The sequence below is a fragment of the Homo sapiens genome, chromosome 3 (genome assembly GCF_000001405.40).
Source record: "Homo sapiens chromosome 3, GRCh38.p14 Primary Assembly".
Lineage (NCBI taxonomy): Eukaryota > Metazoa > Chordata > Mammalia > Primates > Hominidae > Homo > Homo sapiens.
Window position 1 is genome coordinate 127,322,020 of NC_000003.12, and position 14,603 is coordinate 127,336,622.

General features: G+C 41.9%; 1 long non-coding RNA gene across 1 annotated transcript in view; it reads right to left on the reverse strand.

Moving 5' to 3' along the window:
- Positions 1–287: 287 nt before the first annotated feature.
- LINC02016 (long intergenic non-protein coding RNA 2016) overlaps positions 288–14,603 on the reverse strand; it is a 68,364-nt gene continuing 54,048 nt past the window's right edge. Inside the window, exons 4-5 of the long non-coding RNA NR_110147.1 lie at positions 2,516–2,712; positions 288–708 (exon numbers count right to left, since the gene is read on the reverse strand). This is a non-coding gene — a long non-coding RNA (long intergenic non-protein coding RNA 2016). The remainder of the gene's footprint in view (positions 709–2,515; positions 2,713–14,603) is intronic.

Consider the following 14,603-nt stretch of genomic DNA (forward strand, 5'->3'; position numbering starts at 1 on the left):
GACTGTCTTCTTGGACAGCCACGTCCAGGACAATTGCCTGTCTTCATCTTGTCTTCTACATTGTGGCTTTAATCCATCCTGCCTGGTCAGCTGTGTTCTGGACAGCTGCTATACTGATTGTGCCATCCAGATCTATGACACTGGCTGGCTGTGCTTTGGCCTTAGATAGTTAAGTCCACCTGATTAGACTACTGATGACTGTGTCCTGACTGACCACATTTTGGAAAGTTGTCTATACAGATTGGTAAAACATCTGGTCAAGCCCCCTCTCCACGTTAAATTTTTTCTGGTTACTCATCTATATCAGTCAAGGTTCCACCAGAGAAGTAGAACTAGTAAGACGTGTGTGTGTGTGTGTGTGTGTGTGTGTGTGTGTGTGTGAGAGAGAGAGAGAGAGAGAGAGAGAGAGATGGAGAGAGGGAGATTGATTTATTAATACTAGGATATATTATTTATATGTATATTATTAAAGGATCATTAACACTAGGAGATTTATTACAAGCAATTGGCTTATGTGGCTATGAGGACTGGCTGGCAAATCTGGAATCCACAGGGAAGGACATCAGGAAGGGCAGGCTGGAAACTGCAGCAGGAACTGAAGCTGCTGTCTACAGGTAGAATTTCCCCTTCCTCAGAGAAACTTTGGCTCTGTTCTCAAGGCTTTCCACTGATTCGATGAGGCCTATGCAGCTCATTCGGGATCATCTCCTGTACATAAAGTCAACAGATTGCAGACGTTAACCACATCTACAAAACACCTCCCAGCAGCACCTGGGCCCATGTGTGACTGAATCACTGGGCACTCCATGTGAGAAGGGCTGCCACCGCTGGTCCCCTCGTTACAAAGGTGGGTCTCCTTACTGTTCACCTGAATAAGATAGAGTCTTCTTCTGACGCTTGGTAAGGCCAATTTCATCAGCCATGGTTGGAGGCGAGACCTGGGGTTTTGGTCAGCTCTGCTTCCTCCCTGACACACTCACTAAACATTGTCCATTGTCCATCTATACATGACTTTAGGGATGTTTGGTGCCGCTGTTGGCCAGCACCCTGGTCTCCAAGTGGAATTTTGTTAGTCTGAACTTTTCCTCCAGATATATCACATGGCTGTGTCCTACCCACACTTCTGGGGACAATTTAGAAAGGACATGGGCTATGTTCTTAGCAAGTCTCTGACACAGAAAGCCAAGCTTGCCTTCACGGCACAGCGACATTTGTATTTGTGGCTCTGATGCAGCGAATTCCATGGCCATAGAAGAATCTGAGTCTGTCCACTGCCTGCAGTTCCCTCCTGTCTTCCGTTCATTCATTCATTTGTTCATTCACTCATACAGTGAACACTGTCACACGGCCACCACAAGACAGGTCCTGCTCCAGGCCCGGGAGACCCAGCAGTGAACAGGGCACAGAAATGCCTGCTCTCAGGCTTCCATTCTCCCAGGGAGAGGGAGTTCACGAATGAATGAGATCTGTCTGGTGGTGAGAAATGTTGTGGAAAATCATAAAGCAGGGTTAGAAGGACAGAGGATACCTGGGGAATGGTCCCCCCATTAAGCAGGGTGGTTAGAGTACATCTCTAGAGAAGGGAACATTTCAACAAGAAGGGGAAGAAGACAAGAACCAAGTCATGCTGTTATGAGATAGGTGGGGGACATTCCAGCCAGAGTCCAAGGCCAGAAAATGCTTGGCATGGTCCAGGGACAGCGGGGCTGGGCCAGTTTAGAGTGCATGAAAGGGAAAGAGAGGGACAGCTGGGGAAGAGGAGGTCATAGAGGCAGCAGCAGACAGGGCTTGACAGTCACTGTGAGCCTGGCTCTGCTCTGAAGGAGACAGGAGCTATCAGAGCGTGCAGACACTGGGACGTGTCCCCTTCCGACAGAGCTGCTTAGTATCTGGTTGGGATTGCTGGCTGCTGAGGACCACAGCCAAGCTGTCCCCAGGCATCGCCCTCTGCTGAATGGAGCTGCCTCTATCAAGGCTCCCCCTTCCCTGGAAAGTGCAGGGCTGAAAGGCCCAGCCCCTTCCCCTCAATATGGGACATGTTCTAAGCCCACTCCAGCCCCAGAGCTCGGTGAGTTTGGCAGAGGCCCTCAGTGAGACTGCACTGCAGCCAGCTCCTCCTCTGTCCAATTCTCCGGCCTCCTGGGGAGGCTCCTGCCCACCATCAGGGAGGCTCCCCCACTCCCTGTGCTGCTTTCCATGCCAGGGGCACAGCACCCTGTGCTCTTAGAAGAATGCATTGATGTGGTCTTTAGTGTTTCCTGCACACCACTTCACCTGTGCTCTGTTCAGCACACATGTCTGAGTGACAGTGTGTGGCTACCCTTTTTCTTAGCTTAAGGACCAGTGCTGATCTCCCTGCTGTAGTATATTTCTGGGTGTTCATGCTGGATTCCCCCACTCCCAGAAGCAGATCCTTACTGGGACTGCCCCAGAATCGGGGTATCTCCCCAGTGGAGATTCCATTTACAGGTGGGATTGAAAACAGGAAATGACTGTCTGCACAATAAGGACTTACCATGTCCCCCACCTTCACTATGACCATAACTTGCACAGTACCCACTTCTTGGTGGAGAAAGTGCAGCTGTCAATCAAAAAGACAAGCAGGTTCTGATTAGAGACATGCCTGCAGCCCTCCACAGCCATTCCTGTGAACTGTCCTAGCAGGCCTCCAATATGCTGCTTCCACAGAGAAGTCTGTCTTGGAGGGAGTGCCTACAATATAAAACAACAGATCACATTAATAAGAAAACATAACCAACCAAATAGGAAAATGGCCAAAGGATATGAGTTTACTGAAAAGGATATAGATAGGCATCTGCCATAAAAAAAGATGCACAACCTTACTAGTAATCAAGGAAATGCAAATTAAATCAACGATGAGATATTGTTTTATTCACCTACATAACTGGCAAAAATTAGTTTGATAATCTCATGAGCTGTCAAGGTGGAAGGAAATTGGCTGTTCTCATGCCCTGTGAAAATGCATGTGTCTCAGGGCCCAGTAACTTCACTTCTGGTTTTGATTCCCCAGAGAACCCGTGGTGCCTAAGGAGGCACATCCAGGGATGTTGCAAGTGGACGCTGGAAATAAGGGCATTTCCGTCAACTGGGGAAGGGCTAACTAAGATGTTTTGTAATCACACAGTAGAATATTGCACAACAACAACAACAAAAAAAAAACACTTTATCTACCCATATCAACATGGAAGAATGTTTTTGAGGTCTGGAAGGACACCATCAACTTCATAAAAGTAATTGCTTTGGGGAGTGCACCAGGGTAAGAGGTTGTTCAAAGGGAATTTGGGGCTTATCTGGAATCTTTCAATTGTCTTAAAAGACAGCATCTTGATGTATTTCTTGTGTGATTAGAAGATAATGTTTGGAGTCTGTCTTGGGCATACATTTTCTTCCCCCACTGTCTTGTCTCCTGTCCTCAAGCAGGGAGCTCCTCTGCATTCAGCACCAGCTAATGGACAGCCTCCTCATACCCTCCATCTCCTATTTTTATGAAACACTCAGGGCTCTTCAGTTCACACCCATTTTTGCCCGGCCAACACCCCACAGACCAACATGGAGAATATCTAAAAATACTTCAGACCATGCCACTAGCTATTGCTGAGGAAAAAACTGCCCCAAAACTTCATGCCTTAAAGCAATCACTGATTGTTTTTGTCTCACACATTTGTGAGTTGGTTGGGAAATGCTTGTGGTTTGGGCTAGGTCTGTCTGAACTTGGCTGGCTCACTCTATGTCTGCAGTCAGTGGGTGGGTGGCCAGCTGGCTGGCTGGTCTGAAGTGGCCTAACTCCCATCAGCTGGAGCAGCAGGAATAGCAGGCCCTGGATAGCTCACTCTCTGGTGGGCAGGCCCAGGGTTGTCTGAGCAAAAGGCACAGGCATCTAAGAGCAAGCGGAGTAAGTACAGCCTCTTGAAACCTAGCTCAGAGATGGCACACTATGGTTCCCATCACATTCTGTTGGCCAAGTCTTGACTCACAGGGCAGGAAAATAGACTCACCTCTTAATGGGAGGTGTGCAAAGTCACAGGCAAAAGGCAAGGCTTTAGGCAGGAGTGAAGAGTCATAGCCATTTGTTTCAACCAAAACCAAGAGGGCCATGCTCCCTGACCATGTTGTTGGTCCGCATCCTTCACTTCCCCCAGTGAGCACAAACTCAATGCATTAATTAGTCTAGAACACACCCTGTGACAGCTGCTGTGGCTTCCACCCCTGCAGTGTCCTTGTGCCATTGCCATTCTGACAGGCTGGCAGGCCTAAAGGTGCTACAAACCACTAAAAAAGACCCACCAGGACACTCTCTAGGGGAGCAAGAAAAAATGCAAGAATTTTGCAGACCTCACACCATTCCTTGCAGCAGATGTCAGGAGCCTCCATCCTGCTCACCTACCTCCCCATAAGCAAACCCTCTCAGGTGGAAGCCAGAGAGCTCTCCAGAGGGATGGAGGGACTCTTTAATGCCATGGCATATGACTCTGCACCCCCTCTACCATCCATGTGCACCAAGTCTCCTACTCTTGTTGTACCTGGCTGCCCTCCATCCAGGAGCCAAGTAGGGAAGCTGTATGTGCTGTCCTAGAAGGCCTGTCACATCACCTTTGCCAGCTGCTGCTCCAGAAGCACCTGGACTGAATGGCAGCTAGGGGAACTCCCAACCAGCCCTGAAGTTAGTTCATCCCTAGTTCTCAGGGCCAGTCAGCAGAGAAGCACACACTGCAGATCCAGGGAGGGTAGCCTTCAAAGGAGTCTATGTCCAGTTCCAGTCCTATTGCCCTGGGCAGCCCCTCCTGCTATACATCTCAACTGACTGTTCTCTGCTATCCACAGATCAATCACTTCCCCCTTGGCCCACCCAGCACTGTCATGGAATTGGCTGGGGTGGCTGAAAGTCTAGCCCAGTGAGAAACACCAAATGCTACACCCCAGCCTTTCTAGGACAAGTTCCTTCAGTCACTCCATGGTTAAGATCTGACCTTTTAAGTCAGATCTGAAAGAAACTGGAAGGGTCCCTCTGGACTGGTCAGGGAGGATGCCTGGATCTAGAAGCCTAGCCTGCCCTTATCTCTGCTACCCATTCCTCACATGTCCTGAGTTGACTCTTTCACATGGGAGGCACTTGGGCCTTGCATGGACCTTCCTCCCATGGCCTAGGAAGCAGTCCTGGGTGTAAGAGGCTGGAGCCCTGTGCCAAGAACCAGGACTTGGGTTCAAATCCCAGCTCTATCATTTATTAGCTGTGTGACCTTAGCAACTGTCTTTACCTCTCTGAGCCTGAAAAAATTGGTGTGAGTAGAAAGTGCCCAATAAATGTTTGTGAGCTCTAGATATAACAATTTGCCATGAATTTTCTTTAAACCAAGATTCCATGACTTTCAAAAGTTTGGGAATCCCTGGTGTAATGCCACAGTTTCTTTTTATAGGTTTTTGGCCTCCTTGCTGTTCAAAACATGATTCGCAGAAAGGAAATGTGAAAAGAGAAATAGCCCAGAGGAAAAAAAAAATCTGCAGCATTAGGGCAAACTGCGGGGTGACAGCTTTGAAATGAAGCCACAGGGCTGTTAATTGCATTCACTTTGCCCCGGGGCCTGTGCTCCCCTCTCTTCTCTGGTTTGGGATCAATGTGAGGGATGGCGAATGGGATTAAAGAAGGCAGACTTTGATTAGGCCATCAGACAGGTAAAAAGGTATTGAGCTGACTCCCAGTTACTTGTCACTAGATACAATTAACTGGTGCAATTCTGTATGTGTGTGTGCATGTGTGTGTGTGTATGTGTGTGTTCTTTGCCTCTATCTCTGTCTCTCTCCTCTCTCCCTCTTTCCTTTGCCCCCAACTTTATCCCATTTGATAAAGCATGTGCACTCACACAAAAGACTTACTAGGGACTTCCTCTCAGGATCCAATGTTCAATGCGTAACCAAATTTCCATAGTGGTGAACTCTGGGGGCTCTGTTCATTTCACACATGTTTACTAAAAATCTACTCTATGCTGAGCAAATCTTACAGATGATAGAGATAGAGCAGGGAACAAAACAGATGGTGCTGCTGTCCTTATGGTGCTTCTGTACCCTAAGACCCAAACAGGCAATTGACAAAGGGTAAACATCTCACATGAAGTAGTCATGAACACTCTGAAGAAAGTAATTAGGGCAAGAAGATGGAGAGTGAATGGGAAACTATTCCAGATAAGGTGGTCATGGAAGCCCACAGTGTACTCAGTCAGTGAGCATTTCCCAAGCACCTACAGCATGTCCAGCTCTGGATGGGAGCTCTGGGGAACTCCAGAGAAGAGACACGAGCCCTACTCTACAGCTTTGTTGGGGAAGCAAAGCTTGTGTACCCAAGAGTGAGAGAAGTCTGAGACAGGACACCTGGTCAGATTGTGTGGATTAAATGTAAGACTAGATACAGGAGAGGAAAGCATTTGTAGGCTGGAAAATTGGAGGAAAGAGGGTAACACTGATGGAACAGAACAGCTGGAAAAAGGGAGCCCTTTTTCTCCTGCACAGAGGGTAAAGGAGAACTCAGATTTAAATGTGTTGAGCCAGAAGTGAAGGAGGTTAGCAATTGCTGACATAGCCCTAGCTATGGATGAACAGCTGCTATTCTGGCACAGACTGGGGGATTTACAAGCATCTTATTATGTTAGGTTTGCTCAAGCCTGTGAGAAAATTGGGACTAAATTAAGCAATAATTATTGGCAAACAATCTAAATTAATGAATGATGCATGTAAGTGTGCCTGAGGGTTGCATTTCTTTAAATCTTGTTCTAAATGGTGACTTTGATGCAGGGCAAGCCTTGCATCAGGCACTTCACATACATGATCTCTTTTAATCCCTGTAGCAACAGCTGAAGGAGTACTATTATTAACCTTATTTTGTAGATAAAGAATTTGAGGCTTGGAGAGACAACATAACTTGCCCATGTTTCTTTTCTTAATTAAATAAGAACCCATTGAATACTTACAAACACAGTTAGTAAAACACAGGACCAGGATTCAGACCTAGGTCTGTCTGATTGTAAAAACCTTGTTTTGATCCATTGCACTAAACCTGTTTTCACAAATAAGCTTCATTTTAAAAAATACAGTTAACACTTATGCTGAGCTAAACTCACAGAATTCTACTTTGTTTTGTAATAAGCAAGAATTACAGAAGAATGTCTTATAACTCAGTGTCAATGTGGCAGGGTCGTCTATTGCCCCCATTAGCAGGCCTGGTGCTGGAAAAGAAACTGCAGCTTCTGGACTGTTTACTTTTAAGATGCAAAGCTGCAGAGTGATGGCAGATATACCTCTGCTTTGCTTGAGATAGGTACCATTCCTCATGGGGTTTGTGACAAAGTGGCTTGCTCAGGAAAGAGGGCTACAGAGGCTGGCCAAGCTGAAATTTGGGTAAAGACAATGAAATGAAGCCGGATCACAGAATCTCCTACCCTAATACCTAATGAAACAAATTAAATAGTAAAAACAAAAGGGAAAAATCTATTTAAAAGGTAAAAATTGATGAGCAGAAACCTACAAAGAAATAGAAAAACCACACGTCATGAAATCACTTTTACCTGCCCATGCCTCTGTAGGTAGACCCACCAAGCCCAGTGCCACTGTAGATCTTAAAACAGTCTTGTAACTTGGCTCCACTTCCTCTCCACTGATGTCTTAAAGCACTGTCTTGCCAGCCCAAGGATCCAGAGGGAGACCTGCTTGTCTGTACCACCAGAGACAAGGCTGCAGAACTTAATCTCAGCTGTGGACTCTTAAGCATCTTTATGACTCAGTTCCAGCCCCTCTCAGCCATGGCCTGAGGCCAGTACTGCCTGCCCAGGGACCTAATCACTGACCCAGTGGAAGGCTTCCAAGGAACTTGGAGGAAGCCACACCTATCCACATACTTAGTACCAGACCCACTGTCTGTGGACCCTGAATCAGACTCCCATCCCAGCACCAGCCCCTACTTACCAAGGTCCTAAAGGCAATCCAGGCCACCCAGGGACCAGACAGGATTTACAATCCTTCAAACCCCTGGTAACAGGCTGCTGACTTTTTGCCAGCACCAAAGCCCACTAGCCGCAGACCCCACTGCAGATGCAACAGTATCCACATAATCCAGGTGAAATCCCACTTGGCTACAACCCCAGAAGCAGTCCCATGAGGTCAGGGACCCAGGGGGAGGTCTTCATCTGCCAAAACCAGTCTATAAAGACTAAAGAGGTGTTTCCTCTTTCAAATTCACAAGGCTACGCAGATGACAAAGAATCAAGCAAGTATGACACCACCAAAAAAACTAATAAAGCTTCAGTAATTGGCCCCAAAGAAATGGAGATCTATAAATTTCCTGAAAAATAATTCAAAATAAACATCTTATAGAAGCTCAGTGAGAGGCAAGACAATACGGACAACTAAATGAAATAAGAAAAAAATGCATAAACAAAATGAGTTTAATAAAGAAACAGGAACCATTAAAACGAACCAAACAGAAATACTGGAGCTAAAGAAAAAATGAAAGAACTAAAAAATACAAGAGAGTTTCAACAGCAGATTCAATCATGCAGAAGAAATAATCAGTGAAGTCAAAGACAGGTCATTTGAAAATAGCCAACCAGAGGAACAGAAAGAAAAATGAATGAAAAAAAAGTGAAGCATAAGACACCTATGGGACACCATCAAGAGGATAAATATACAAATTATGGGAGTCTCAGAAGGAGAAAAGAGAGGAAAGAGACAGAAAACTTATTTAAAGAAATACTGGCTTTAAAAGAAAAAAAATCCCAAATCTTGGGACAGACATCCAGATGCATGAAGCTCAAAGGATCCCACGAAAAATTAACCCAAAGAAGAATATTCCAAGGCACATTCTAATCAAATTGTCAAAAGACAAAGACAAAGAGAACCCTGAAAGCAGCATAAAAAAAGAGACTTATCAATTACAAGGGAACCCACATAAGGCTATCAGTGGACTTCTCAGCAGAAAACTTGGAAGCTAGTTTGGGAATTAGATGATATTTTTAAAGTACTGAAAGAAAAAACCTGCCAACCAAGGACACTGTATTCAGCAAAGCTTTCATTTCTGAAGAATAGAGTCCTTCTATCCTTTCAATTTTCATATCTGAAGGATAAAAGCCCTCAGCTTTTATTTGTCTAAGACAATTTGGTTTGTCCCAGACAAATAAAAGCTGAAGGATTTTATCTCCATGAGATCTGCCTTAAAGAAATACTATAGAAAATTCTTTTGGTTGAAAAAAAGTGATGCTAAGTAACAACATAAAAACATATGAAAGTGTAATACTTACTGGCAAAAATAAATATATAGTCAAATTCAGAATACTCTAATATTATAATGATGACATATAAATCACTTTTAACCCTATTGTAAAAGTTAAAAAGAGTATTTTAAAAACCATAGATTTAGTAATTTGCTAATGGATACACAATATGAAAAAAGTAAAGTATGGCATTCATATCATAAAACAAGGGGGAGCAGTGAAGAGGTAAAATGTAGTGTTCATATGCAATTAAAATTAAGTTGTTATCAGATTAAAATAGATATTATAACTATATGATGTTTTCGGTAAGCTTCATGGAAACCACAATGAGAAGACCTGTAGTAGATACACAAAAAATAAAGAGAAAAGAATCAAAGCATATGGATACAAAAAGTCAACAAATCACGAAGGAAGACAGCAAGGGAGAAAGAAGCAAAAGAACTACAGAACAGTCCAAACACAATAAACAGAATGGCAATAGTAAGTCTTTCCACATCAATAATTACTTTAAATGTAAATGAATTAAATTCTCTAATCAAAATACATAGTATAGCTGAATGAATTTTAAAAACAACAATTAATATCCAACAACATGCTGGCTACAAGAGGCTCATTTTAGCTTTGAGGTCACATAGAGCCTGAAAGTGAAGGGATGGAAAAGATATTCCATGCAAATGATAACCAAAAGAAAGCAGAAGTGCCTCTACTAATATAAGGCAAAGTAGACTTTCAGTCAAAACTTGTCACAAGTGACAAAGGTCACTATATAATGATAAAGCTGTCGATTCATCAAGAGGATACAGTAATTGTAAATATTTGTGCACTCCACATTGGAGCATCTAAATATATAAAGCAAATATTAATAGAATTGAAGGGAGAGATGAACGATATAGAAATACTAAGGGATTTCAATACCTCACTTTCAACAATAAATAGATCCTCCAGACAGAAAATCAATAAGAAAACAGTGGCCTTGAATAACACTGTAGACTGAATGGACCTAACAGACATTTATAGAGCATTCCACTCAACAACAGTGGGATATATTTTCTTCTCAAGCACACATGGAACATTCTCCAGGATAGATCATATGCTGGGCCACAAAATTAAACACACTCCTGAACAACCAATAAATCAAAGAAGAAATACAAAAGGAACTCAAAAAGTATCTTGAGACAAATAAAAATGGAAACACAACATACCAAAACTTATGGGATGCAGCAAATACATTTTTTATGAAGGAAGTTTAGAGTAGTAAATGCCAATTTTTTAAAAAAATCTGAAGTAAACACCCTAACTTTACACCTCAAGGAACCAGAAAAAGAAGAAAAACTAAAACCCAAAGTCAACAGCAGGAAGGAAATAAAGATTAGAGATGAAATAGAGACTATAAAGACAATAGGAAAGATCAATAAAACTAAGAGATGTTTTCTGGGAAAAAATAAAGTTGAAAACATATAGCTAGACTAACCTAGAAAAAGGAGAGAGGAGTCAAATAAATAAAGTTTTAAATGAAAAAGGAGATATTACAACAGATGCCACAAAAATGCAAAGATGCTAAGAGACTACTATGAACAATTATGTGCCAACAAATTTGATAACCTAAAAGAAATTGATAAATTTCTTGAAACATGCAACCTACCAAGACTGAATCATGAAGAAATAGAAAAGCTGAACAAATTAACAACATGTAAGATTGAATCAGTAATACAAAACTTCTCAACAAAGAAAATTCCAGGACCATATGGCTTTACAGGCAAATTCTATCAAGCATTTAAAAAAGAATTAATGCCAACCTTTCTCAAACTCTTCCAAAAAATTGAAAATAAAGGAACACTTCCAAATCTGTTTTATGAGGCCATCATTACCGTCATACCAAAGCCAGCTAAGAACACAACAAGAAAAGAAAATTATAGGCCAATATCCCTGATGAATATAGATATAAAAATCCTTAACAAAATACTAACAAACAGAATTCAACAACACATTAAAAAGAGCATTCACCATGATTAAGTGGGATTTATCTGTGGGATACAAGTATGGTTCAATATACACAAATCAATAAATGTGACACACCACATTGACAAAAATAATATGAACATCTCAATGAATGCATAAAAAGTGTTCAACAAGGCCAGGAGTGGTGGCTCACACCTGTAACCCCAGCACTTTGGGAGACCGAGGCAGGTGGGTCACCTGAGGTCAGGAGTTCAAGACCAGCCTGGCCAACGTGATGAAACCCCATCTCTACTAACAATACGAAAATTTTCTGGGTGTCATGGCACACGCCTGTAATCCCAGCTACTCAGGAGGCTGAGATGGGAGAATCTCTTGAACCCAGGAGGTGGAGGTTGTAGGGAGCCGAGATCACGCCATCGAACTCCAGCCTGGGTGACAAGAGAGAAACTCCGCCAAAAAAAAAAAAAAAAGTGTTCAACAACATTTAACATTCTTTCATGATAAAAAAAAAAACCTCTCAATAAATTAGATTTAGAAAGAATGTACCTCAACATAATAAAGGCCATATATGACAAGCCAACCTAATATCACATTCAAGGGTGAAAAGCTGAAAGCTTTTCCTCTAAGAACAAGGACAATACAAGGATGCCCACTCTTGCCACTTCTATTCTACGTAGTACTGAAAGTCCTAGCCAGAGAAATTACTCAATAAAAAAGTAATAAAAGGCATCCAAATTGGAATGGAAAAAGTTAAATTGTCTGTTCCAGATGGCATGATTCCAGATGGCATGATCTTATATATAGAAAACCCTAAAGGCTCCACCCCAAAACTATTAGAATAAATGAATTTAGAAAACTTATAGAATACAAAATCAAAATACAAAAATCAGTTGTATTTCTATATATCAACAATAAACAGTCTAATAAAGAAATTAAGAAAGCAATCTGATTTACAATGACATCACAAAGAATAAAATACTTAGAAATGAATTTAACCAAAGAATTAAAAGATCTCTACACAGAAAACTGTAATACATTGAAGAAAGAAATTGGAGAAGACATGAATACATGGAAAGATAGCCAGGTCCATGCATTTGAAAAATTAATATTGTGAAAATGTCCAAACTACCCAAGCAATCTACAGATTCAAAGAAATCCCTGCAAGAATCCCAATGTCATTTTTCACAGGAAGGGAAAAAAAGAATCTTAAAATTTGTTTGGAACCACAAAAGACCCCAAAGAGTCAAAGCAATCTTCAGGGGAAAAAAACAAAGCTGAAAGCATCACAGCCCCTGATTTCAAAATATACTACAAAGCTATAGTAATCAAAACAGCATGGTAGTGGCATAAAAACAGACACAGATGCCAATGGAACAGATTAGAGATCCCAGACATAACTTCATGCAGTTTTGGTCAATTGATCTTTGACAAAGTTTTCAAGAATGTAAAATAGAGAATAGACAGTTTCTTCAATAAATGGTGTTGTGAAATCCATATGCAAAAATATAAACTTAGATCCTCATCTCATACCACATATGAAAATCAACTTAAAATTCATTAAAGACTTAAATGTAAGACCTGAAACTGTAAAATTACTAGAAGAAAACAGGGGAAAACTCCATGATGCTGGTCTGGGAAATGATTTTTTTTGGATATGGCCCCAAAAGCACAGGCAGCAAAAGTAAAATAGATCAAAGAAATTGCATTGAACTTAAAAGCTTCTGCACAGCAAAGGAAACAATCAACAGAGTGAAGAGACAAGCTATGGAATAGGAGAAAACATTTGCAAACCATCTGATAAAGGGTTAATATCAAAACTATATAAGGAATTCAAACAACTCAATAGCAAGAAAACTAATAACTTGATTTAAAAATGGTTGGAGGACCTGAATAGACATTTCTCAAAAAGGGACATAAAAATGGTCAAGAGGTGTATGAAAAATACTCAATGTCACTAATCATCAGGAAAATGCAAATGACAACTGTGATGAGATATCATCTCACACCTGTTAGAACAGCTATTATCAAAAAGACAAATGATAACAGGTGCTAGTGACGATGTGGAGAAAAGGGAACCCTTGTACACTGTTGATGGGAATGTAAATTAGTACAGCCATTATTGAAAATAGTTTAGAGGTTTCTCAAAAAACTAAAAATAGAACTACCATTTGATCCAACAATCCCGTTTCTAGATATACACTCAAAGGAAATGAAATCAGTATGTTGAAGACATATCTATACTCATTCATTGTAGCACTGTTCACAATAGCCAAGATATGAAATCAACCTAAGTATCCATCAACAGATGAATGGATAAAGAAAATATGGAATATAGACACATGGGATACAATGCAGCCCTAAAAAAGAAGAAAATCCTGCCATTTGTGACAACATAGATGAACCTGGAGGACACTGTGCTAAGTGAAATAAGTCATTAACAAAAAAACAAATACTATATGACCTCATTTATGTGTGGAATCTAAGAAGTTGACCTTATAGAAGCAGAGAGAAAAACGGTGGTTGCTAGGGACTAGGGGATGAGGAGGATAGGGAGATATTGGTCAAAGGGACAGGATAAATAAGTTCCGGAGATCTATTGCACAGTATGCTATTCAAGGTGCATTTTTAGTTAATAATAATGTATGTATACTTGAAAATTACTGAAAGTAGATCCTGAATGTACTCACACCCCCCAAAAAATTGATAAGTATGTGAAGTCATCAATATGCTAATTGGCTCAATTTAATCATTTCAAAATGTATACTTATATCAAAACATCATATTGTACACCATATAGTCTCATGAAAAGAAACATTCAGGTCTCAGGCCATCCTGAGCTTGTCCCCTGCCATTCAAGTCTATGCTGTCCTGAGCCTCCTTGGCAGCCTCTGATCTAGATGTGGTCGGATGGAGGGACCTCGGGAGGTGTCTGGAGCAGGCCCTGCATAGCTGCACTGGATGAAGGTGAGTACAGTGTGGCGGGGCTGAGGGGCTTCCAAGCTTTGCTGCATGCAGGAGAAGCTGGAGCCCAGCAGTTGCTGGGTGGCACGCCCAGCTGAGGAGTGGCCCCCATCTCACATTTCATGGAGTTCCAGGAGAGGGAATAGGCCAAAGAAGCTTCCCACAGCCGCTTTCATGCCCTCAGCCTGCAGAAAGTAGGATAGAAGAAAACACCAAGCTTCTCAGAGGAGAATTGAAAAGAGGTGGGAAAGACAAGGAGAGTTGCAGACAGACAGGCTGGGTATTGGCTCGTTGCCCTCCGTCTGCATGTCAGTTGGGCTATATTTTTGACTGCAAGCAGCAGAAAACCCAATTTAATGTGGCTTAGCTAACAGACTTTATCATCCTGCTCAGTGAAAAGCCACAGGT